Source organism: Homo sapiens, chromosome 6 (assembly GCF_000001405.40).
Source record: "Homo sapiens chromosome 6, GRCh38.p14 Primary Assembly".
Classification (NCBI taxonomy): Eukaryota; Metazoa; Chordata; class Mammalia; order Primates; family Hominidae; genus Homo; species Homo sapiens.
In genome coordinates, this window is record NC_000006.12 from 142,060,825 (window position 1) to 142,087,700 (window position 26,876).

The following is a 26,876-nucleotide window of genomic DNA, read 5'->3' on the forward strand; positions in this document are numbered from 1 at the left end:
CTCTTCAAGCCTCCAGCCAACACCCTTGCCCATTGCCTCTTGGGCAAATCAGACTCTGAGCTATAATTTGAAAATGAGTGTTACAATAACTCAACAACTGCAACCCTTTTTTCTCTTCTATTTTCTTACCCTTTAGTGGAAATCCTCCTTTCCTTACTCCAAAAGAGTTGGACTGTTCAGCTCAGGACACTAGAACGTATTTCAGCATAGCTTTGAGACTTCAAATGATTCATTAGTTGATCCTAAACATACCAACACTATGAAAAAGAGTTCACTCCTATCTCTGTTGTCTTGATAATGACTGATGGTGAGTGCACTTCCATTGGACTCCCTTAGTTTATACACTGATTTTGAGAGACCCAAACACAACTCATCTCTAGTTGGTTAATTCTACTTAAGTCTTACGTTCCTCTTCAAAGTCTTCACTACAAATAAAAACAGTAAACAATGTCACGTTTATTTGTTTCATAAGTTTTGAGCCATTTTATGAAACAACTTATTGACTGCAATGATAAAGAACGGTTTCTAGAGTTCTCTACAACCTTCATAAAAGAATGCATCAAACACAGCTAACAGTCTATATTAAAAAAAGAGAATGCTCTTTGAAATATGTAAAAGCTATCATATATAACATTTTGCATATACTTCCCTGATAAAGAAAAACACCCAATAAAATAAGCTCTCATTAGTTACATTTCTGATTTTTTACTCTATGATTTTTTTTTGCTTAAAAAAGCCAATTTCTGCCTTTTCACAAGGAATTGTATATATAGAGGCAATTCCTTTGCTATACCTGTTCTTGTTTTTGTCTCTTACCTTCTATATCTAATTAGCAGATCTACAAAAGCTTCACTGATTATTATTTGCAGTGGTTATTATTATTCCTAGGAGCTCAGTGCAGAAATCTTAATTATTTATATTTTTAAAAATATATTCTTTATTTTTCTTTAATGATTATTAGCAAGTGACAGAGACACTAAGAAAAATATTGATTTCATATACTTTCAGGTAACTGACTCAATTAAGAAAAGAATATAAAACCTGTACTAATAAAATAATTTATTTGTATTTAACCTAGCCACTAGGATCTAATAGGAGATTTTAACCTGTATCAACAAGAAAATATTCAGATAAGATGAAAGTTTCAACTAACCATATAGTGGTTTCATATGAACACCAAATATTAAGAAACAGATGATACGTGAATATTTTGTTTTCTATGCAAGTGTTTTGACACTCCGTCAAAATACTATTGTTTTTAAGTCTCTAGAGAACAAGAATGCTATCCTACCATAAAGTATGTTTGCAAAAAGGAATGAAATATTGTCTTTAAAGATCAATCAAGTGCAGCAATTTTTGCTTCAAGATTCCAGACCCATCTTTTACTTTGCCAAGCAATAATTACATCATGAAACTTGAGTTAAGACACATTTGTCACCACTTTTGCAGCCTTTCTATTAGAATAGCTTGAGAGTGATTATACTAATATATATTAAATCCTATAATACAGTTTTTAAAAATTACGCTCCAAGAAACACCTTATCTAACAATAGTTTAATCATTTCAGAAGACAGTTACATCAACATAAAATCATGCAAGTAATTCCTATAATCGACAAAACATGATACATCAATTAAACTGTTAAAGCAGAGTAGACTTCACACATTGAATTAAAACTCTCTCAAAAAAGTAGGCTGAAAGGACAAGATTTTCTGTTTTCATAAAATAAGCAGTTGAAATCAAACCGAGGATTTTTTCAGTCAAAACATTTGTGTCTGAAAAGAGCATCTTCAATTTATTTCATTTCTCTCTAATCTTTACAGATTTCAAGTTTCCTAAATGTGACTTTTCTCCCGTTTGTAAACAAATAAAAATTTACATTCAAATACAATTATCAACATCCTTCATAGTGAAGACCTAGGAAAGGATGTTGAATTTGAAGTTGTTGGTGATGCCCCAGAAAAAGTGGGGCCCAAACAAGCTGAAGATGCTGCCAAAAGCATAACCAAAGGCAGTGATGATGGAGCTCAGCCCTCCACCTCCACAGCTCAAGAGCAAGATGATGTTCTCATAGTTGATTAGGATGAAGAAGATTCTTCAAATAATGCCGACGTCAGTGAGGAAGAGAGAAGCCGCAAGAAGAAATTAGATGAGAAAGAGAATCTCAGTGCAAAGAGGTCACGTATAGAACAGAAGGAAGAGCTTGATGATGTCATAGCATTAGATTGAACAGAAATGCCTCTAAACAGAACCCTCTTCCTATTTAGGTTATCTGGGCAGAACCAGATTGTTAGGTCCTTTGTTGCAAAGAGAAAAAATTGACACCAGTGACTTGAAAATGATTCTGCTCCCTTTCAAAGCATTCATTTTGCTAGAACTGTTAGACACATTGCAGTATGCTGTATTGAAAGTGGGAATATAGTTTTAAAAACCCTTTGAACAAAGTGTGTGCATAACCAGTCATGAGATAAAACAACACAATGCATGTTGCCTTTTTAATGTAAATACCCTTAGGTATCATTAATAGTTTCAAAATATTGTGGTTTAGTAAAGTTGATACCTGGTTATAAATATTATGCCTTTATTTTTGGCTAGAAGAATAATTATTTTTAGCCTAGATTTAACCATTTTCATACTCTTAGATGATTGAAACAGATTCAAAGAAGTATCGAGTGCTATGCATTAAAACTTGTTTTTAAATGTTAAATGGCACTATGTATATTAATGTAAAACAATGTTAATTTACTCAAGTTTTCAGTTTGTACTGCCTGGTATGTCTGTGTAATAAGCCAATTTTTGTGTATTGTTACAGTTTCAGGTTATTTATATTCGATGTTTTGTAAAACTCAAATAACGACTATACTTACGGACCAAATAAATGGCACCTGCATTCTTGTTTTAAAAAAATACAATTTTTTGTAGGTGCTTCTCAGATTTTACGCCTGTAATGCAGTTTTATAAACTAATACTTATAAACTAATGTTTATTACAAGAAAAAAATTATTCATGCTGCACTGATTTTTTATTTATTAAATTAAGAAGTACAAAATACATGTGATTTAAATAAATAGAATAAGTGCAATCAATAACTTCTATTTTATCAGTGAGGATTCACTCATTAAAAGGCACAACGCCAAAATAAATTCAAGAATATTCATTTTATAAATTTTGGGATGGAAAGGAAAACGTGATTCCGAGATAGAAAGGGGGAAAAAATCCTGTTGGAATTGCTTCTAATTTTATTTGAATTAAACATATTATTTCTTTAAAATAAGAGGAGACAGCAATGCCAATACATCAAGTACAATTATTAATTCCACAGTTTCACACAATCCTACAATCCATGTGTTGCCAAATATTGTCAAAGATTTAAAGAAATTTATCATCAAGTCCCATACTTATAAAATCTAATTATTTAAGGTTTAAAATAATGGAATGAATATTAATTAAAAACAGAAAAAATTAAAATCATGTTAGTTTTAAAAATTGTAACAATCACAACATGGGTTTGGTTATTATTTATGGTATTGTTTTCCCTCATACATACTTCAGTTGGCATTCATCTACCACTATCAACTTGAAAAACATACAATAAAGGAAGAGCTACCATTTTAGAACCAAAGGCTCAAGTCTGGCAAACTGTTCTCATGCGTACTTTAGAAATCTAATTGGCAGAATATAGTTGAGACGATAATATTAATGCTCTAAATAATTCTACGATAGGATGGTATGTCACTGAATCGAAATACACCTGACTTTGTAAATTTGAAAACTTGTTTTCTAATAAAAGAAAATTATTCTATTTTTATTTTTAGTTTTTGTGGGTACATATTAGGAGTATACATTTATGGGATACATGAGATAGTATGATATAATCATACAATGTTTAATAATCACATCAGGTTATATGGGGTGTCTATCACCTCAAGCATTTATCCTTTCTTTGTTTTGCAAACAATCCGATTATACTCTTTTAGCCATTTTTAAATGTACAACAAGTTATCATTTACTGTAGTCACCCTGTAATGCTATCAAATAACAGATCCCTTTCATTCTAATTTTATTTTGTACCTATTAATCATCCTCACTTCCCCCTCCCCTTCTGCTACCCTTCCCAGTCTCTGGTAACCAACATTCTACTCTCTAACTCCATGAGTTCAAATATTTTAACTTTTAGCTCCCACAGATAATTAAGAACATGTGAAGTTTGTCTTTCTGTGCCTGGCTTATTTCATGTAACATAATGACCTCCAGTTCCACCCATGTTGTTAGAAATGACAGAATCTCATTCTTTTGTAAGGCTGAATAGTACTCCATTGTGTACATGTACCACATTTTGTTTATCCATTTCATCTGTCGATGGACACTTAGGTTGCTTCCAAATCTTAGCTATTGTGAACAGTGCTGCAATAAACATGACAGAGCAGGTATCTCTTCAACACACTGATTGCCTTTCTTTAGGGTATATACCAAGAAGTGGGATTGCTGGATCATATAGTAGCTCCAGTTTTAGTTTTTTGAGGACCCTCCAAACTGTTTTCCATACTAGTTGTGCTAATTTACATTCCCACCAATAGTGTACCAGGGTTCCCTTTCTCCACATTCTTGCCGGCATTTGCCTGTCTTTTGGATATAAGCCATTTTAACTGGAGTGAGATGATACCTTGTTACAGTTTTGATTTACATTTCTCTGATGATCATTGATGTTGAGCACCTTTTCATATGCCTGTTTGCCATTTGTATGTCTTCATTTGAGAAATGTGTATTCATATATTTTGCTCATTTTTAATCAGATTTCTAATTTTTTTTCCTCTGGAGTTGTTTGAACTCCTTATATATATTCTGCTTATTAATACCTTGTCAGATGAGTAGTTTGCAAATATTTTCTCCCATTCTGTGGGTTGCCTCTTCACTTTGTGCATTGTATCCTTTGCTGTGCAGAAGCTTTTTAACTTGATGTGATACTTTTTCCATTTTTGCTTTGGTTGCTTGTGCTTGTGGGGTATTACTCAAGAAATCTTTGCCCACTCCAATGTCCTAGAGTTTCCCCAATGTTTTCTTATAGTAGTTCCATAGTTTGAGGTCTTACATTTAAGTCTGTAATCCATTTTTATTTGATTTTTATATATAGTAAGAGATATTTGATTTTTATATGTGGTGAGAGTCTAGTTTCATTCTTCTGCATATGGATATTCAGTTTTCCCATCACCATTTATTGAAGAGACTATCTTTTCCCCAATGTATGTTCTTGGCACCTTTGTCAAAAATGAACTCACTATAGATGTATGAATTCTGGGTTCTGTATTCTGTTCCATTAGGCTAAGTGTCTGTTTTTATGGAAGTACCATGCTGTTTCGGTTTCTATAGCTCTGTAGTACAATTTGAAGCCAGGTGATGTGATTCTTCCAGTTTTGTTTTTTCTACACAGGACAGCTTTGGCTATTGTGGTTCCATATAAATTTTAGGATTTTTTTCTGTTTCTGTGAATAATGTCATTGGTATTTTGATAGGGATTGCATTGAATGTATAGATTGCTTTGGTTAAGTTGAACATTTTGATAATATTGATTCTTTCAATCTATGAATGTGGAATATCTTTCCATTTTGTGTGTGTGTTCTCTTCAATTTCATCAATGTTTTATAGTTTTCATTGTAGAGGTCATTTATTTTGTTAATTTCTAGGTATTCTATTATAACTGTAGCTATTGTAAATGGAATTACTTTCCTGATTTCTTTCTCTGCTAGTTCATTACTGGTATACAGAAATGCTACTGATTTTTGTATGTTGATTTTGTATCCTGCAAATTAACTGAATTTGTTCATCAGTTCTCATAGTTTTTTGGTGGTGTCTTTAGGTTTATCCAAATATAAGATCATCATCTGTAAACAAGGATAATTCGACTTCTTCCCTTCCAATTTGGGGATTTCTTTCTTTCTTTCTTTCTTTCTTTTTTTCTTTCTTTCTTTCTTTCTTTCTTTCTTTCTTTCTTTCTTTCTTTCTTTCTTTCTTTCTTCCTTCCTTCCTTCCTTCCTTCCTTCCTTCCTTCCTTTCTTTCTTTCTTTCTTTCTTTCTCTCTTTCTTTCTCTTTTCTGATTTCTCTAGCTAGGGCTTACAGTACTATACTGAATAACAGTGGTGAAAATGGGCATCCTTGTAGTGTTCCAAATCTAAGAGAAGGGTTTTCATTTTTCTTCATTCAGTATAATACTAGCTGTGAGTCTGTCATATATGGCGAAAATTGTTCTTTATTTGAAGCTAAAAAAGAAAAAGGTGGGCTTGAGGGTAGTAAAATTGGGTCATCTGTGACTTTATTGCTGATTTGGTATTTTGAATCATTGCACAGGTGAAATAAAATATTCCTCACAAATATTTAGTGGGATTCTAGCTTAGACTAAAAAAAATTATATAATTACTTTGTGTTAGTAAATGGAAAGGATGTAATTATGAGATAATTTAAATAGAAGCTTTTCTACTTGACACCAAAATGGTGCTCTAAGAGTACTGTAGAACTTGCCTCCAGAATTTTGTGATTTTTGGCCTCTAGTGTGTTGCTTTCCACGCTGATTTTATTAAGTAATATTTTATTAATTAAAAAGAAGCCAATGTAGTATACTAAAACTGAGTTCAATGTAAAGTGAATAAAAATCATTTAAAGTGTTCAAACATTTATCTCTGTTTTCTATTTCTTGAATTCATTCTCTAATAATAAATTCTCTTGGGATAAAATGTATTCTCTTGTCCTGTGCAATGAGTTATGTCAAACCATTCTATTCAAACAGTACTACATTTTATTAATATGCTTCTAGGCAAACTGCCAAAGAAGAAAAACAAGTTCTAATTTTTAAATACTCTAGACAGCTTATTATAGCTTAGGCTGAAATACAAAACTAAGGCAGGCAGATCAAGCACACCTACATTCCAGTGTGCACTTTTATATGGCCTTTCTTAATTCCAAGAGATGTATTTGATTAAACACATTAGCAGAAATAATAACACTGCTATTAGTAATTTGCTATTTGGATAAATCTGCCTTTAAAATAAGTTAGACATGCACACTAAATTCAATTTGTCATTGCATTTGGTTATTTATATACCTAATGCCATATGGCTGTTTGACCAGGCTCTTTCTGCTTTGCAAAGGAGAATCTTTACCCGTCGAAAAACATGAACTTACGAGGATAAGAAAGTCTAACGGAGGCAACAAGGTCATATTAAAATGACTTGTGGGTTTTTTTCTCCTGCTTCTTTACTCTCATAGGACCATGATTATATAGTCTTCCTTTTAATTCATGCACATAAATAAACATATTCCAAATGGTATAAGATGGATTATACTGCTGAGAACTTTCTTACACTTTTTAGCTTGAAGAATCCAGGAGAATACCACACACGAGATGCAAATAGATAGATTTCTAACACCCAGCAGAAAACTAAAAGTTTTAAGATACCCATGTTTCTCAATTAAATTTTATCAGCATATGAAAAAAAACAATTTGAAGATTCTCATACTTGTTTTTTCAGATTTGATTATCTACAACACCAAGATACCTCAAATGGTTATGAATTTCCCCTTTCAAATAGTTCTGTTAAGTATCATTAAATATTTTGTAAAATATGTTTTAGGTTCCTAAGTGGGTTAAATTTACATTATTCATCCACCATGAAGAATAATGAGTAATTATAATCTCTTTCTTGCCCAAAAGGAGAGTTAGTTCCCAGAAATGAAATCCTGGTTAAGTTTTGCTGTATACCACTTCCAACACAAATTGCCCACCACAGATTAAAACTTGGCTCTGTATGTAAGAATATGTCCTGTTTGAAATTGCAGTAAGATACAACATATGGGAAAAAATGGAGCACTTGGAATAACTTGGCAAAATAATTTAGAAAATGAAATGTTATAAAATGCAATGTATAAGTAATGTTTTCTCTAATGATCATTTAAAGATGCAGTTATAACAAGACAATCTTTTGCTCTCTTCTTTTTATTCTGTTATAGCTTTACAAAAATGACTTTCTGCACGGAAGCTGATCTATTTGCTCACGCCTTTCCCACTTGTTTTGAAAAAGTCTAAGAAAAACGTACTTATATATATATTATTTTACTCAAAGTTGAAATACACATGCTTACTCTTTCTTAAGAGAGGCCTAATTGTTGAAATATTTCATTTCTCAGAAACTTAGTGTAAATATTTTCTGAGTGAGCAATGAAGCCAGTAAAAAATATTCATAAATGGAAATATTATACTTATTTAAAACTCATTAATGATTTTAAAGCTGTATAGGATGATATAAACATTTAAAACTTGTTCTAACAAGCAAATAGTCAAATGAAATATGTTTCAATATCTAAAAAGTTCCATTAATTTTTATTATCTTCCTCCTTTTTTAATATAGCATGCACAAAAGGGAGAAAGAAATTTAGGAGCAAAAATTATGCTCCCACCTTTTATATATGAAATTTATTTTTATACAGGTATTCACATGACCTAGAATTTAAGCTGCTATCTTTCCCTAGGAAAGACAAAGGCAAACTGAGAGAACCATTCCTTTTTGTCCTCCACTGTCAGGTAACCTGTGCATTTCAGTGAGGAAAATGTTGACATGCATACTCCTGTCTTTTAATGAATTACTTGAATTCCAGACTCCTGGGAGTATTGACTGTAGATAAAATATATGAATTTAAAGTCAAACAGATAAAAGTTCAATAGCAAGTTCTTCCATCCTTATCTGCCTCAAATATAGGATGGGAACCAGAATAGCTTCTGCCTTATAAGCTATTATGATGCATCCCTATAAAATAATATGGCACAGGTCTGCCACATAGGACATGTTTAATCAATGTTTATTATTACTTTGTTACATGAGAACAATAACTTTAAAATATAATGATAAATGCTATCTTCACTGAACACTTACTTCAGGCTTTGGGTAAGTACCTTACATGTGTTGCATAATTTAATTCTACAATGTTATTAATCCATTTTACAAATGCCATGATTGACAGGTATCGGTTCCTGATTCAAAGTATTCCAAGGTTACTTTTTTTTGTATTTTTTTAACAACTCCTGGTTTAAAGAGGAGATTCACATAAAAGGGCATATATATCTTGCATATACATTAAAAATAATATTTTGTGGATATTTCTCTGTTATGGCAGATATTACCACGTTAGACATTTTTTCTGAAATATTTTCTTGGATTAAGATATTACTAGATTGAGTTACAAAAATCAATAAATTAATTACATTTTTCAAAAGGCTATTTCAATTTATGTATGTTTATTTTAACAGATCTGATATTTGGCATTTTTGTTCTACTTCTGACTAATAGGCATCATCAGTTTGATTCATTTCTGTAGTGTGATTTCATAAATAAATGTTGAGATTTATTTCTTTTAATAATAATATTATTATTATTAGTTTTGAGACAGAGTCTCGCTCTGTCGCCAGGCTGGAGTGCAGTGGTGCGATCTCGGCTCACTGCAACCTCCACCTCCCAGGTTCAAGCGATTCCCCTACATCAGCCTCCTAAGTAGCTGGGACTATAGGTGTGCACCACCATGCTGGGCTAATTTTTTTTTTTTGTAAATTTGTAGAGACCAGGTTTCACCATGTTGGCCAGGATGGTCTCAATCTCCTGACCTCGCGATCTGCCTGCCTCAGCCTCCCAAAGTGCTGGGATTACAGGCATGAGCCACCATGTCCAGCCTTAATATTATCATTTGATAATAAGAACAATGAAATCTTCAAATACCCAGAAACAAATATAAATATTTATAAATATAAAAGTGTAAAACAAGTGTATACAAATTAAATATATGAAAAATTCAACAAATGCAGAAGTTTAAAATCTAATTTTAATATGAACCAAATATCATACTGTGTGTGTGTGGGTATGTGATAATTTGCACACAAAATGACTAATGATATGGTTTGGCTGTGCCCCACCCAAATCTCATCTAGAAGTCCCATGTATTGTGGGAGGTACCAGGTGAGAGGAAATTGAATCATGGGGGCAGGTCTTTCCCATACTGTTCACATGGTAGTGAATAAGTCTCATAACATCTGATGGTTTCATAAGGGGGAGTTTCCCTGCACATGCTCTCTTCTCTTGTCTGCCACCATTTGAGACATGCCTTTCACCTTCCACATGATTGTGAGGGCTCACCAGCCAGGTAGAATTATAAGTCCATTAAACCTCTTTCTTTTGTAAATTGCCCAGTCTTGAGTATGTCTTTATCAGCATTGTAAAAATGGATTAATACAGTAAATTGGTACCAGTAGAGTGGGGTAGTGCTGAAAAGATACCTGAAAATGTGGAAGCAACTTTGGAACTGGGTAATAGGCAGAGGTTGGAACAATTTGGAGGGCTCAGAAGAAAACAGGAAAATGTGGGAAAGTTTGGAACTCCCTAGAGACTTGTTGAATGGCTTTGACAAAAATGCTGATAATGATATATATGGACAATGAAATCCAGGCTGAGGTGGTCTCAGATGGAGATGAGGAACTAGTTGGGAACTGGAGCAAAGATGACTTTTGTTATGTTTTAGCAAAGAGACTGGTGGCATTTTGCCCCTGCCCTAGAGATTTGTGGAACTTTGAACTTGAGAGAGATGATTTAGGGTGTCTAGTGGAAGAAATTTCTAAGCAGCAAAGCATTCAAGAGGTGACTTGGGTGCTGTTAAAGGCACTCAGTTTTAAAAAGGTAACAGAGCATAAAAGTTGGGAAAATTTGCAGCCTGACAATGTGATAGAACAGATAATCCCATTTTCTGAGGAGAAATTCAATTTGGCAGCAGAAATTTGCATAGGTAACAAGGTGCCGAATGTTAGTCACTAAGACAGTGGGCAAAATGTCCCCAGGGCATGTCAGAGACTTCTGAGGCAGCCCTTCCCACGACAGACCAGAGGCTTAGGTGGAAAAAATGGTTTTGTGGGCCAGGCCCAGGGTCCCTCTGCTGTGTACAGTCTAGGGACTTGGTGCCCTGCATCCTAGATGCTCCAGCCATGACTAAAAGGGGCCAAGGTACAGCTCAGGCTGTTGCTTCAGAGGGTGGGAGCCTAAAGCCTTGGCTTTGGTGTTGAGCCTGTGGGTGCACAGAAGTCAAGAATTGAGGTTTGGGAACCTCCACCTAGACTTCAGATGATGTATGGATATGCCTGGATGCTCAGGCAAAAGTTTGCTGGAGGGGTGAGACCCTCATGGAGTACTTCTGCTAGGGCAGTGCAGAAAGGAAATGTGGGGTCAGAGCCCCACACAGAATCCCTACTGGAGCACCACCTAGTGGAGCTGTGAGAAGAGGGCCACCATCCTCCAGACTCCAGAATGGTAGATCTACAAATAGCTTGCAACATGCACCTGGAAAAGCCACAGATACTTAACACCAGCCCATGAAAGCAGCCAGTAGAGGGCTATACTCGCAAAGCCACAGACGCAGAGCTGCCCAAGGCTGTGTAAGCACACCTCTGGTATCGGCATGACCTGGATGGGAGACATGGAGTCAAAAGAGATCATTTTGGAGCTTTAAGTTTTGACTGCTCTGCTGGATTTTGGACTTGCATGGGGCCTGTAGCCCACCACTTTGTTTTGGTCAATTTCTCCCATCTGGAATAGCTATATTTACCCAATGCCTGATCCCCATTGTATCTAGGAAGTAACTAACTTACTTTTAATTTTACAGGCTCATAAGCAGAAGGCACTCGCCTTGTCTCAGATGAGACTTTGGACTGTGGACTTTTGAGTTAATGCTGAAATGAGTTAAGACTTTGGGGGACTGTTGGGAAGGCATGATTGGTTTTGAAATGTGAGGACATGAGATTTGGGAGGGGCTGGGGCAGAATGATATGGTTTGGCTGTGTCCCCACTGAAATCTCATCTTGAATTCCCACGTGCTGTGGGAGGGACCTGGTGGGAAGTAATTGAATCGTGAGGGCAGGTCTTTCCCATGCTATTCTCATGATAGTGAATAAGTCTCATGAGATCTGTTGGTTTTATAAGGGGGAATTTCCCTGCACAAGTTCTCTTCTTGTCTGCCACCATGTGAGATGTGTCTTTCACTTTACATGTGATTGTGAGGCCTCCCCAGCTACCTGGAATTGTAAGTCCATTAAACCTCTTTCTTTTGTAAATCGTCCAGTCTCAGATATATCTTTATCAACAGTGTGAAAACAGACTAATACAACTAATATGCAGAATCTATAAGGAACTTAAACAAATCAATAAGAAGAAAACAACCCCATTAAAAAAGTGGGCAAAGACATGAACAGACATTTCTCAAAAAAAGACATACAGGTAACCAACAAACACGAGCAAATGTTCAACATCACTAATCATCAGAGAGAGGCAAATCAAAACCGTAATGAGATACCATCTCACACCAGTCAGAACGGCTATTATTTAAAAAGTCAGAACACAACATGTCAGAGAGGTTGCAGAGAAAGGGAACGCTTATAGACTATTGTTGGGAATGCAAATTAGTTCAGCCACTATGGAAAGCAGTTTACAGATTTCCCAAAGAACTGAAAATAAAATTGCCACTTGACACTGCAATCTCATTACTAGGGATATAGCTAAAGGAAACTAAATTGTTCTAACAAAAAGATACCTGCAATCATATGTTTATCACAACAATGTTCACAATAACAAAGACATAGAATCAACCCAGGTACCCATCTATGGTGGACTAATGACATTGTGGTACATATACACCATGGAATACTACACAGCCATGAAGAAAGAATGAAATAACATCCTTTTGTAGCAACATGGATGCAGCTGGGGCCATTATCTTAAGCAAATTAATGTAGAAACAGAAAAATAATTCATGTTCTCACTTACAAGTGGGAACTCAACATTGGGTCCACATGAACACAACCATGGGAAAAACAGACACTGGGGACTCCAACAGTGGGGAAGGGGGTGGACAAGAGTTGAAAAACTACCTGTTGGGTACTATGTTCACTACTTGGGTGATGAGATCATTATGAGCCCAAACCCAGCATTATGCAGTATACTGATGTAACAAGCCTACACATGTACCCTCTGAATCTAAAATTTAAAAAAATAATAATAATTTTCACAGATAATCCTCTACCTGCTTAGTTTGTTAACAGAGCTATTAAGTGTTGACTGGATCTCCAAAAAGAAAAGCTCGATATTTTTAAGTTAGTTAATATCTCTGAGCCTCAATTTCCTAATCTATAGAGATAATAACAGACCTTCTTCAGAGGTAAATTTACAATGAAATTAATAAAGCCTAAGTTCAGGGTTCTAACAATGTGTTCACATGATCTGTTGTTTCTGCAAAGTTTTCAAAATCGTGTACTCTTTCAAATAAAGATGCCTTACCCACAATCGCATAACTTCATACCTTGCCAAATTAGATCCTTCTCTTGTTCACCTCAGTGATTATATTGATGATTAAATTAGATAGTAAATGTAAAGCTTTAGGACTATGCCTATAACATAGAAAATACATGATTAGTGTTCACTATTATTATTATTATCAAATATTTTAGTTTGTATTTATTCTTCTAATTGTTATATACAATTGAATATGTTACATCTTAAATAGCATGAGTTATGGGTGTTTAAGGAAAAGCTTAGTATACTAATAGAGTCTTCTCAAATCTGGAGAAAGAAATAGTATGAAATATATTGATTTAAATGTTAGATTTATTGATACATGCTTTTAAAAATGGTAGCTTTTAAACTGTAATCAATACATTTGCATTTTCCTAAAAAAAGAAGACATTTGTTCAGAGAAAACTGTGGTATCATGCAGGAAAAGCAGAAAAAAATTGCCTAAGTGTGATCCCACATACTTGTCAGTTGGGTATTGCAAGAGAGGATGAGTAAATGGTTGAACTCACTGGAATTACACAAATCTTATCACATCTATACACAATCATCCAAATATTCGAGGATTTAGCAATGTATACTAAGATGGCCATGCAAACTTGTGAGTTGTAGCTTTGCAATTTGGGACATATGATACCTATTTTACATTCATAATGTAAATCATATTCATATGATACCTATTTTACATTCATAATATAAATTATATTCATATCATATCTATTTTATAATTCATAATATTAATTTCATTATATCTGTTAATCACATACTTAGAATTACAGATATGAATTATTTCTATAAATTATGATTAATCACAGAATCACAATAAATACCAATTTGATTAAGCTCCACCTTTGAATTTTTTCTTATTTTCTTAAAATGAAGGACGTGTGTGTGTGTACATATATACATATACATATATATATACACACACACACACACTCATGCAATAGTTGTGAATTGAATGAAATTCACCAGGACAATCTGACTTGTATTTCAAATAATAGGAGTTTGAATATTACCCTCACTGAATCATTGAGTCAATATAGAAATTTATTTCATGCTTCAAGATAAAACAAAACCTAAGACAAATATGCTAGAACTGGCTTTAGCAACAGCCTAAATACTAAAGCAATGTTAAATTATACATATTGCATTGGTTTGGGGATCATCTTAAATGTGAAATATATATAATGTACATGTGTGTACATGTGTGTGTGCAAATACATATATATACATATATGTATTATATGTAGTGATTTAAAGTCTTTTCTCATATTCTAATTATTAGGAAATGAAAAGAGAAAAAATAAAGTCTAGTGTAGAGAAAAAATGTCTTGCATTTTCTGAGTCAATCATGCAATTGCCTAATAAATTAGCTAAGCAACAGCAAGTTCTGATCTGCCGAATAGGAATTTTAACAGTTACTAAGTTCTCTCCAGGTAGTGAGTTGAATGGCCAAAATCACAGTGCCATTTCCTGCTTCATGCTGTGCCCATTTAGTAAAACAGAATTGGTCACCATGTTCTTAGCATTGCTTTTCAGAGATGTCATACGCACCGCTGAAGAGCTGAGTAGGTAGCTGGTTCCTCTCTCTTGATAGGACTTCCTCCCACAGCAGAGTTGGCTGTTGAAATGCCTCCTGAAGCTTTCACTGAGTAGGTAAAGAGCAAATGGGTTGACACAAGAATTGCCAAAACTGAGAACCCGGGCAACTAAGGTGACAATCATGTGGCCTAGAGATGGATCAATCTCATTATAGTTGAAAGACCGATACATGTAAAGGATGTGGTTTGGAAACCAACAGAAGATGAAACAGCCCACAAAGACAAGCACAATTTTAGCCAGGCGTTTCCGTGTTTCCATCTGCAAATATAAGAAATTGATCCCATTGGTTAAAGTGAAAATGGAACCAGCCACATACCAACTTTATCAAGTCAGGAAAGAGCAAAATTTACAGCATGATAATACATCCAAAATACATAAATTATTTATTTTCCTCACCAAAGTGATGATGGATTTTAACAGTTTGATAAGCTTATTTTGGTCTCTACATTATTTGCATTAATAAATATTTGACAGCTTATACAAAACTAAGTGGTAAATTACTAAATGCTGTCTTCATATTATTTATTTATTTTCTTTTTGCTTAATGTCTCATTGTGTGTAACATAAATATAAGTCATTTCTGTTTGTATTAAATCCACTAAATTAATAAACCATAGAATATATTCAAGCTTAGGTGTTTTAAAAAAATCAGGGTGTTTTAAATAGGAAAAACTGATCTGATGAAGCAGGGCTTGCTGTTTAAAACTACCACTCCACAGGAAAACAAAATAGCAACTTGAAATTTAAACTCCTGACTTACACAAATCAAAAGCATCTGATATAACCGTGAATCCTGTAAACATTATTATATTGTCACATTCACAAATAAAAATAAATTTTCCTTCTCCATAAAATTTACATATTATGTTTACTGTTTCTAAGAGGGTATTCAAGAGTGTAATAAATAGGCAAAATTCAAATATTGGACATCAATACTTTTTAATCTAAAAACAATTTCCTAACATCAGTAGTTCAAGGGGTACCTTACATTTGTCTAATTTGTTTAAATACTTAATTAAACCAACATGGACATGGAATACCAATTTATTGAAAGACATTGGTAGTAGGTATCATAATATTTTCTGAGTGAATACTACTGGTCGTCAACTAGAATATTCCAAAGAAGACTGGAAAGGTTTGGGATTGGAACATATCTGATGGTAGGTAGCAATAGAGTGGTAATGGAGGAAGCGAAGAAAGGTAAAACTGAAGAGGAACCCAGGCCAGGAAGCAGAATGTGATGTTCCACATGGATCCCAGTGGCATAAGTTAGGCAACCCAACAATCAATCCTAAGAAAGTCAAATGTGAAATTTATCTTTCTAAGCAGTGTCATGCCTTCCAGGTGGACCATGAGTGCAAGAATGTCACAGCAGTCTATACTTGGAGATTCAAGTGCACAGGCAGGCTGTTGGCATTGAGATTATTTCTCAGCAGATGTCAAGACCCAGTTGCCCTGCCAGAGTCTATAGGTCCCAATAGGGAAATTCACAAAAACAAGGCAGGCAGACCAAGGCCAATAAAAATTTAAAAAGTGAAGCAAGGGCTCTGTATATGAGAAAAACTCAACTTTAGAAACCAAAAGCAAATACTCAAATACCTAATTGAGATACACAGGGCTCAAATTGGGTCACAGGGCTCAAGTAAAAGAACTAATTATATAAAATAGAAAGCACAGTGAGCCAATGATCTGAACACATTGCCTCACTGATGCCAAATATTTAGAGAAAGTCTATGAATTAATCTAACAATGCCTTCAATAATTGGGTGATTTTTTAAGTCTTTAAAGCCGATGTGGATCTTTGATGTTGATGGCCACCAATTCATAAAGGTTACCTTCCATGCAAGAAAACTTTACTAGTTTCTGCTGTTGCTAACATGCCCAAGGCCCCAGCCTAATGCTCCATCTATGTTCTAGTAAATTTTAAATGATCTGCGATTCAATTTCTTTGCCTTTAATTTGGAAACAAGCATCGGTAACTACTCTGTACCTGCAAAACCCGTTAGAAGTTCTTTTCTAGCTGTACACAAATGTACAACCAGAAACTCTTTGTCACAAGAACACTATTTCTCTTTGTGTATTAACACAGTAGATTTTTACCTTAAATTAGTACTGCATATTCTTGAAGGAAGAAAAAGTACATAAGGTGCATGATGTAATTTTTAAATGAGCGTATTATCTTTGTAGGGAAAGTTACAAATTTGAGTTGGGTCACGTACTGCTTCAGCACCAGCCCACCTTTGGATTGCACCTTTGGGTTCCTTTTCTGCTGCTCTTGCTATTCCCCTCATCTCTCATTCTGACTTCCACCCAAATCCCATCCCAAGATCCCAGGCAGTGTCCTATAGTCCTTTCCTGATGCATCCTTCTTCTAGACTCCCTGCCATCCTTAGTGGGTTAATGGGAGAAGAGACAATAATCAAATTAATGTATGCTCATATGTGAAATTTTTCTGGTTTATTATGTTGTTTGTTAAATAAAAATCTGCATGTAAAACAGGCCTTTCAATACATTAATTTCTAATGGTGGAATGTCAGGCCTTATCACAGATCCAGATAAATGATAAACTGAACCTAAGCAGGCCTTTGCAGGGCTCTGATATGACCATATATTAGAGATCCCCACATATCCCTTCTAGTTAAGGCCTGTGAAGGCCCAACTCTGTTCTCCTCAGTCATAGGATTAAAAGCCCACAAAATAAAACAATAAATAGCAGTTACTTGTTCTGACCACACACCACCAACCCACGCCTACTAAGCTTACCTGTTTTTTGGTATGTTCATTGTATTCTCCAGGAAGATTGTGTGCGCTTTTAATTAAGGTCTTTGCAATATGATAATAATAAATGCTAATAATAGCAAGTGGTATGAGGAAATAGACCAAGAAAATGAGCACTGAATGAATCTTTGGATGTAATTCATCTGTTTGAGGGTATGGGATACATGCTGTGAAGCTGCTATTATCCAAGCTACTGATGCGAGCCACTTCTGAAAACACCGCTTCGGGAACTGCCAGCAACACGGAGACCACCCAGATACCCATGGCCTTCACACAGGTCCGCAGCAATGCCCCTGACGTCTGCATGTCCATGGGGTTAACGATGGCTCTGTACCTGGGAAAATGATACATCTCAAGTTATTCCAGAAAGAAAGGAAAGAAAAAAGAGAAAGAAAAGAAAGAAAGAAAAAGAAAGGAAGAAAGGGAGAGAGAGAGAAAGGAAGAAAGGGAGAGAGAGAGAAAGAAAGAAAGAGAGAAAGAAAGAGAGAAAGAGAGAGAGAAAGAGAGAAAGAAAGAAAGAGAGAAAGAGAGAGAGAGAAAGAAAGAAAGAAAGAAAGAAGAAAGAAAGAAAGAAAAAGAAGAGAGGAGAGGAGAGGAAAGGAAAGGAAAGGGAAGGAGAAAAGAAAAGGGAAGGAAGGAAGGAAGGAAAGAAGGGAGAAGAGAAAAACATTCTGCTTAGTAAGAGAGATGCCAACAATATTCTGTCTTTATAGCTCAAATTTATTTATTCCCTGGCTGCTTAAAAGTGTATGGAAGACCTAAGGTTCCTGGTGTCTCTCAGTCTACAAGTCATTCCACTACTTATTAGCACAGAAAACAAAAAGAGAGAGAAAAATATTTTAAATTTGCATTTCCTAAATCCTAGTCATTTCATTTCCAAAATCCTGGACATTAGTTTACCTCTTAAATTCTTCTAAATCTATATATGTTACATCTATCATAATGTATTGAATACCAAATATAAGATATTCACAAAATAATATTATTCAATTCTTCCTTGATACTTTTCCATAGCTTCTGAGCATGAGCCCCTTCACTCTTTTTCTAAGGACATTAATGAATTTTAGAAACTAATCTAGATTGGTCATACTACATTTTGACAAAATAAAATAAATAAAAGACTCATCTAGATTGGGATTTTCTCCATAATCCAATAATAAGGACTGAAAAACTTGAAAGCAGAACAATATTCTGTCTTTATAGCTCAAATTTATTTCATGTCAAGATCCCATAAAATTCTTTTCTCCTCCAACCTAAAATATTAATGGCAATATACTAGCAGTGTACTAGTGATAAAGGAATCACACTCCAGGACACAGTAAACAATCCAAAACTTTCTACAGCTAACTCAAACACACATATTAAGTAAGGCAATGATGATGCAAACAATTCAAAATGGTATGTAAACCTCAAATTTTTTATATTTCTCTTTAAAGTATTTCAGGTGACAATATACCTAGCAAATAAGATGCAGTATCACAGGATTTTAGTTAGACAAATCTGAATTATTACCCCATCTCTGATATATTTTGGAAAATCACATTTATCAAGCACATCTCCACCTTCTTCTTGATTTTAATTTCTAAGATATTCTGTTAGCTTTACTTTCCATCATTTTTTTTCTGAATTTTAAAATTTCTGCTATCATCTTTTGTTTCCTATAAGTTTTTTATGTTTTCAAATTATTTCTTTTTTATAGTGTCCTATTCCTATGTTATATGTGCACATTCTTGCCCTATATCTTTTTTTTTTTTTTTTTTTGACAGGGTCTCACTCTGTCACCCAGGCTGGAGTACAGTTGCCTGATCACAGCTCACTGCAATCTCCACCTCCCAGGTTCAAGCAATCCTCCCACCTTAGCCTCCCAAGTAGCTAGGACTACAGGTGTATGCCACCAAGCCTAGCTAATTTTTGTATTTTTGTAGACAGGAGGTTTTGCCATGCTGCTCAGGCTGGTCTCATACTCCTCCTGGGCTCAAGTGATCTGCCGACCTCAGCCTCCCAAAGTGCTGGGGTTATAGGTATGAGCTACTGCAGCCAGCTCTTGCTATGTACCTATAAAACTAATACAAAAATAAAAATTTAATCTCTTTCCAGGTTGTTTGGTCTCTTTGTGCTGTAATCTCTCCCAATAAATTTGCATAATTATTGACTGACAATTCATATTTAAGAGCAAAGTACCAAAAAGTTGACTGTAATTTTTTTTCTGTGGAAGAAGACAAGGAAAGGGCAGAGAGGTTATCACTACAAAAAGATCAAGCCTTCTTTTTAGATTATCAAAAACCACAAAGGGTATTCTGAACTTTCCTCCACGTATTTAAAAAGGAGAAGAAAATGTCACTTCTCTACCTCATATCTAAGCACATATACTATTGTAGAAGTACTGTTGTAGTTTACTTGAGCTGCTATAATAAAGTACCATATACTGGGCAGCTTATAAACAACATAAATTTGTCACAATTCTGAAGACTAGGAAATCTAAGATAAAGACATTGAGAGATTCAGTGTCTGGTGAGAGTCCCCCTTTTTTACATAGATAGATCTTCTTGCTGTTTATTCAAATGGTGGAAGGGTCAAGGGTCTCTTTGGAGTCTTTTATAAGGGTATGAATCCCATTCATGTGGGCCCCACTCTCATGACCTAATCACCTCCCAAAGGCCCACCTCTTAATGCCATCATCTTGGGGAGTAGGATTTCAACATATGAATTTTGGCCAACATAAACATTATATCATAGCATGCATTATAACTATAAAAGATATAGAGAAACTTTAAATAGAAATTAAAACAAAAAGTCTCTCATTTTGATAAGATTGCTAGAAACAGATACAGAAATCTCGGTTTAGAGAAAGCAAGAAACCTAGCAGAAATGTTGGCCTTTCCAGCAAGGAGGATTATGAGCCACCTCCTGCAAGAAAAGATAGACCCCAATGATATTCTCTGAATGATACACATTTGAATAAAAGGGGAGAATTGAAAATCCTACAAAAACAGAATTAGAGTTGAAAATACAGATTACTGAAGTGTTATTAGTGCTGAGACATAGCTTACAATTGTCGAAGAAAAATGTTGTATACCAACTGTGTGTATCTTTGAAAGGATAAAAAGCAAAAAATAAAATGAGATAGTGCAAATTAATGTGGACATGTTTTATTATGCTTCCTTCAAATATTTATAGACATGTGGGGAAAAGTATCTCTTAGTATAAAAAGTGTTTCACTGTGTATATTAGCATAGCAGGTATGTGTAAAAAGGTATATTTTCCCTTATAAATGGTCTCAGGAGGATATCCCTAACTGAAAACTAAATACTAGAGAATGTTGATCAAAAGGCATATAAAGAGAAAAATAATCACTATTCATGTATTAAACCTCAATAAATAAATAGATTTCTTCATCAATTCTTATTTTGGATCTCGCTTGTAACATCTGTGTAGTTTAAATTTTAATGTAAAGAGATAATTAAGTTTAATCATAAAACAAAATACATAATAAAAATGGGATATTTTTTACCTCTTACAGAGTCATCATAGCATCTCAAAAATCTCCATCTACACTAATCTTTCTAATGACACTACCCAAAATTTCTTTCTTTCTTTTTTTCTTATTAAACTTTCATTTTTCAGGCAAAGAATAGGTCCACAAAAAGTCTGAGTGTGAACCGCATGATAAGAGAAAGGTCTTGCTCACTGTTATATCTCTAATACACAACACAATGCCTGGCCTGGCCAGTAGAGTCTATAGGGTCTCAATAAATGGTTGAAACTATAGCCTGAGCAACAAGGAGATCCTTATTAGGAGCAATTGTGGTAAAGTGGGTGGGAGTTGTTGGGTATTATGTTGAAGTGGGAATGGTGATGACAAACGGAGACTGAGTCTAATCTAATGATGCCTAAGACGCATCAATATTCAGAAACACATAGAGAAGTAAAAAAAAGAGAGAATATGATTAGGCTTCTCTGTAGAGTTACTAATGCAGAATCCCTAGAATGTGAAATGTGGGATTCTGCATATTACTAACATTTCCAGGTGATTCTGATGATAAGCCGGGTTTAGAAACCATGTTTTAAGAGAGTTGTGTGCAGCAGTGAGCATCTTTGCCACAGGCTTCCTGCAAGGTGCAGTGCAATGGGTGCACATTCAGCAACAGAATGGATAGTATCCAGAATCCAGCAGAAATTCAGCATTTGAAGAATCAGATGCCTGCTCTTTAATTATGATATGTCACATCATGAGGAAGACATCATTCTTCTTTTGCAAATAAGGAAAGCACCACCTTATGGCCATGAGTTTTGTGCTGTTTTATCCTTTTTCTCCAAGAAAAACATTTGGATGTAATGGATACATGGTTAGCAGCACCCAGAAACCATAAACCCAAGCCTGATGCAATCCCTCCTTATTTATAGTGTGTCCCAAAAGTTTCAGATCAAGGTAGATGAATAATCTTCAAAAGCTATAAGCAACATATAAATTATGGCAATATTATGAATCTTGTGAGAATTATACAGTGCCTTTCTAATTCAATGTGTGAAATTACTTCTAAGTATAAAAGAAAGAGATAAACTAGAAGTGTTCAAGATCAGTGAATAAAAGATATCTAATTTATTGGAGTCAAATAACATTTATTTAACAATAAGCCCCATAAATTCAAATTAAAAACTAATAAATTATGTGCAGAAACTACAATTGATTCTGTTTCTATGGTTATATAAAAATAACAGAGAATTGGTTATGGAAAGCAAATTTTTCTTTTTGAAAAGGCTACGAGAAAGCTCTCAGAAAAACCTATGACTCACATTTTGTGAAAGTATGGGTCATTTTATATTTTCCAACTTTTCTTTTCCCTGCCCTTGGTTTCCTCCCTTTTTAGTCCTGTGGTGTGTTGTTTGTATCCTTATTTTTAAGCTGCCTTACATTCTCCTGTCGCAGGTCTGATATGGTTTGGCTCTGCATCCCCAACAAAATCTCATGTAGAATTGTAATCCCCAGTGGTTGAGAGAGGGACCTGATGGGAGGTGACTGGATCATGAGGGCAAATTTCCCCTTCCTGTTCTCATGGTAGTGAGTGAGTTCTCATGAGATCTGGTTGTTTGAAAGCGTGTAGCACTTCCCCCTTAGCTCTCTCTCTCCTGCCACCATGTGAAGACATGCTTGCTTCCCCTTCACCCTTCTGCCATGTTTCTAAGTCTCCTGAGGCCTCCCCAGCCATGCCTCCTGTACAGCCTGTGGAACTGTGAGTCAATTAAACCTCTTTTCTTTATAAGTTACCAAATTTCAGGTAGTTCTTTATAGCAGCGTGAGTAATACAAAGCTGAACAAAAATAAGTTGAACATAAATAAGTCATCACTCTAGCATTATAGGGTAAGTGTGGACTATTGTTCTAAAGAGAAGCACACTCTTGGTGCCAATCTCACTACCAATTAACAGACTGAGAGGCAAGGGCTATGGAGCAAAAAAGAAAGCATCATCTCCAGTCAGGGGCAGCTGGCTAACATGAACCTGAGCTTCAGTCAGGAGTTTTGATGAGAAAACAGCAAACAGTTAACAGCACTCCCTCCCACCACTGAACAAAGACTGATGGAAAAGTCCTATGAAGCCTAGTGAGTGTTAGACCCAGGGCCTGTATCCAATCTATTTCAGTATCTTAACAAATAATTACACTCAATAAAATATCTGTTTGCATTGATGTAATATACAAATAATATTAATGATTCAAGACTTTGTCTACTGACCTAGTTATGGAATGAAATCTGATTATCCTAACCAGCACTCAAAAACTTGGATTTTGTATTAATAACTATTAATGCATTAGAAACTTAATCAGATTTGGTACAACATTATTTTTGCATTTAATCCAACATTGGCTATTTGGTATCAGAAGAAAGTATCACCCAATACATTAAACTAATATTAGTTTATTTTTATGGTTTTTATAGTTTTATTTTTTAAATTTAATTTATAAATGCGTTTTGGTTAACAGTTATATAAGAAGCCACAATAAAGAATTGATATCTAGTTTTATATTTGTTAATACATGAAATTATGAAGTTTACAGTTTAGCACTAGGAATCTGTGAGAATTTTTCCTATGAAGGAAAAAGGAAAACTCCATTCCTAAGAGTTATTTGCATTTTAATAATGTGCCATCAGAGGCCAAAAGATCTTCAAGAATCAAAGAAATAACATTCCAAATTTGGAAACGCAGCTACTCATATACAGAGAAAGAGATAACTATAACGCCAACCAGGAGCAAAATATGGCTTATGGGGCGCCACCAACCTGATGTCACAGCACACACGTCCCAATACTCCACGGGGGGAGGTGAGAATATGTGTGTGTTTGTGTGTATGTGTGTATGTATAAAAGTGTTAGAAACATGACAGAATATAGAAATACTTTTAATCAACTACTTTATGTAAGCAAGCAAGCAATATACATTTTCAAAATTGTAACAAAACTGTCTATCAAGATAACAGTTTAAAAAATAATAAAAAATTGAGACTACCACTATCACCACTTCATACCATGCACTGTCTCTCCTCCAGCCATACTGGTTATGATGATGTGCCTCTGAGGCATGACTGCAGTGGGCACAAAAGCTGTTGCCTAGGGATGTGTCTGCTGAAACTCCTCGGAAGAGTTTGGAAAGTTGAGGATTAATAATCACAGACACCAGCTAGGAGCAGTGGCTCACACTTGTAATCCCAACACTTTGAGAAGCCGAGGTGGGCAGATCGCTTGAGGTCAGCAGTTCGAGACCAGCCTGGCCAACATGGTGAAACCCTGTCTCTACTAAAAATACAAAAATTAGCCAGGCATAGTGGCGTGTGCCTGTAATCTCAGCTACTCAGGAGGTTGAGGCAGGAGATTTGCTTGAACCTGGGAGGCAGAGGTTGCAGTGAGCCGAGATCGCACCCCTACACTCCAGCCTGAGTGACAGAGCAAGATTCTGTCTCAAAAAAATAAAATATAATAATAATCACAGATACCAGTGTCATCTGACCACCCTTTGGCCATATCAGACAAGGTGTTTTAGGCCTCAAGGTGGATTCAAAATATTTGTGTTTTTCATTTTAGTCTCTGCAATCTAATGATGCTGACATCAATGAAGTGTAGAATATGAGTCTCCACTTCACATTGGAATATGCTTTCTGAAATCTAATTATCTTCCTGGGTTTTTTTCTATGTACTGTGATCTCTATAGGCAAAGAGATCTTAGGCAAAGATCTTGTTAGGCAAAGACACTTAGGCCATCTGTGAAGACAGGATATATGATACAAATAATTGAATTTGTTGTTTAAAGACTCTAATAACATAATTTTTATTTGTTTATTATAGTTTTTATTGCTGCAACTACTACTTAAAATTGAATTCAAGGTGCTTCTTTTATTTTGCAGTTACATTTTATGATGTTTTTTCACTGTAATAAATCTAATGAATCAGCTCCTGTACTCTTTTTTTTTTTTTTTAATGCTTGGGTGTTTTGTTTTAAACTCAGCTTTTAAGTCTGCTGGTAAATAAAAAATACTATTAGTAATTTCTTATACCAAGAATTGTAATAATGTGGATTAATGGTGAAGAGTTCAGACTTTAAATGGCGTTCAAACATGTTGGCACCATCAGTGGCTAGCTGTGAGATCATAAAAATGTTGCTGAATTTCTAATCTGTTTTCTTAGCTTTAAAGTTTTTAATTTAAATAAAATAATGCCTATCTAACAGCATTGTGAGGGTTGAAAAATTACACAAAAAAAGTTAGCACTGTGCTAAGCACAATTAATCCTACAATTGATTCCACATCCACAAGAAATCATAGCTTTTGGTGAGATATAGTAAGAAGTCATCAAGTACTAGTCAACTATTGATTGCTATGCTCTAGAAGAAAAATAGAAGTGTAGACAATATATAACAAACCATTTCCAACCCATTTTAAGTGAATCATGGAATATATTGCATAACTTCATCAACAGTTACTCAGGTTTCCTAGTTTATATTTCCTAAACACACACTGGTAGACAAGGGTAGCCTACGGACCAAGTAGAAGAGGCATCTCACCTTTCCTTATTGTTATTACTAAAGTATTCATCCTGTATTCACAGAATATATGATGCACAAATGAAACAAAGAAAGTCAGTAAATATATAAGGATTATTATTTTCTCTGATCTAGGCCAGGGCAAATTTACCTGTGTAAATGGTCATGTGTCGCCATGACAATAGATTGTAAAAACTGGTGTGAAATAAACTCCAACCCTGGGTCTTGCTACCAATGCCATGTCTTTAGAATAAAAGCACAATGATAGTAATTTAAACTACTGTGGTTGCTAATCATTAAGTTTTATTCTAATCACTAAGTAGGTTTTTTAAACTTTCTAGGTAAAATAAGATTGCATAAAGAGGGGCAGCTAAACTAGTCATATTTTTGCTTTGGAATTCAGAGAAAGTATTTTAAAAGATAATAGAAATGCTGCCACATAAACAAAATTAGGTACATAATTTATACAAAAGGCACCTAAGTTTCCAGGAGTGTGGTTTTTAAGAAAGTGAATCATTTTCAGTTTCTCAAGTCTCTGTTGAATGCTGTGTTTCCCTCAGTCAGGATTAACTCTTCAATGCCAAAGTAGTATTCCAGTATTCTTGCAAATACCAGGAAATTCAGATACAGACTTATTTTTCATTAGCAATTGAATATGTAAATTAAAGAGGAGAGGGCATACCACCTTAATTATCCAAGTTAATTGTTTATCTAAATAGCTTAAGTCAGTCCTCCATTCCCACCAAGGGAATTAAACCACAGCTCCATGAAAAGGTACCTAATTTTGCATTTTTCCCCACCCCTATCCAAACATTCCCTTCTGCTTAAATGGACCCTGAGTCAGGAGACTTGGATTTTCCTCCCTGGTCTTCCATTAGAAATTACATTCCCTGGGCCTCAATATGCACATCTGAAAAATGACAGAGTTGAACTAGTTGATGTGCAAAATAGAATAATGGACACTTCACACCCTTAACATATGTCAAAAGCAGATTTAATATCAAAGATGTATTTTGGGTACCTATCTGTGGAAAAAAAAAGTCTCTTAGCTTCAGGTATTAAACAAGAAGAATGTGAAAAGTCATCTGCCCAAAGAACATT

At 34.8% G+C, this 26,876-nt stretch overlaps 1 protein-coding gene across 3 annotated transcripts in view; it reads right to left on the reverse strand.

Moving 5' to 3' along the window:
* Positions 1-13,659: 13,659 nt before the first annotated feature.
* Positions 13,660-26,876, reverse strand: part of NMBR (neuromedin B receptor) — a 72,639-nt gene continuing 59,422 nt past the window's right edge. For all 3 annotated transcript variants that reach the window (NM_001324308.2, NM_002511.4, NM_001324307.2), the window contains 2 exons: positions 17,731-18,079; positions 13,660-15,225 (listed from right to left, as the gene is read on the reverse strand). In NM_001324308.2, coding sequence (NP_001311237.1) covers positions 14,824-15,225; positions 17,731-18,057 — 729 coding nt within the window. In that variant the 5' untranslated portion in view covers positions 18,058-18,079 and the 3' untranslated portion in view covers positions 13,660-14,823. The remainder of the gene's footprint in view (positions 15,226-17,730; positions 18,080-26,876) is intronic.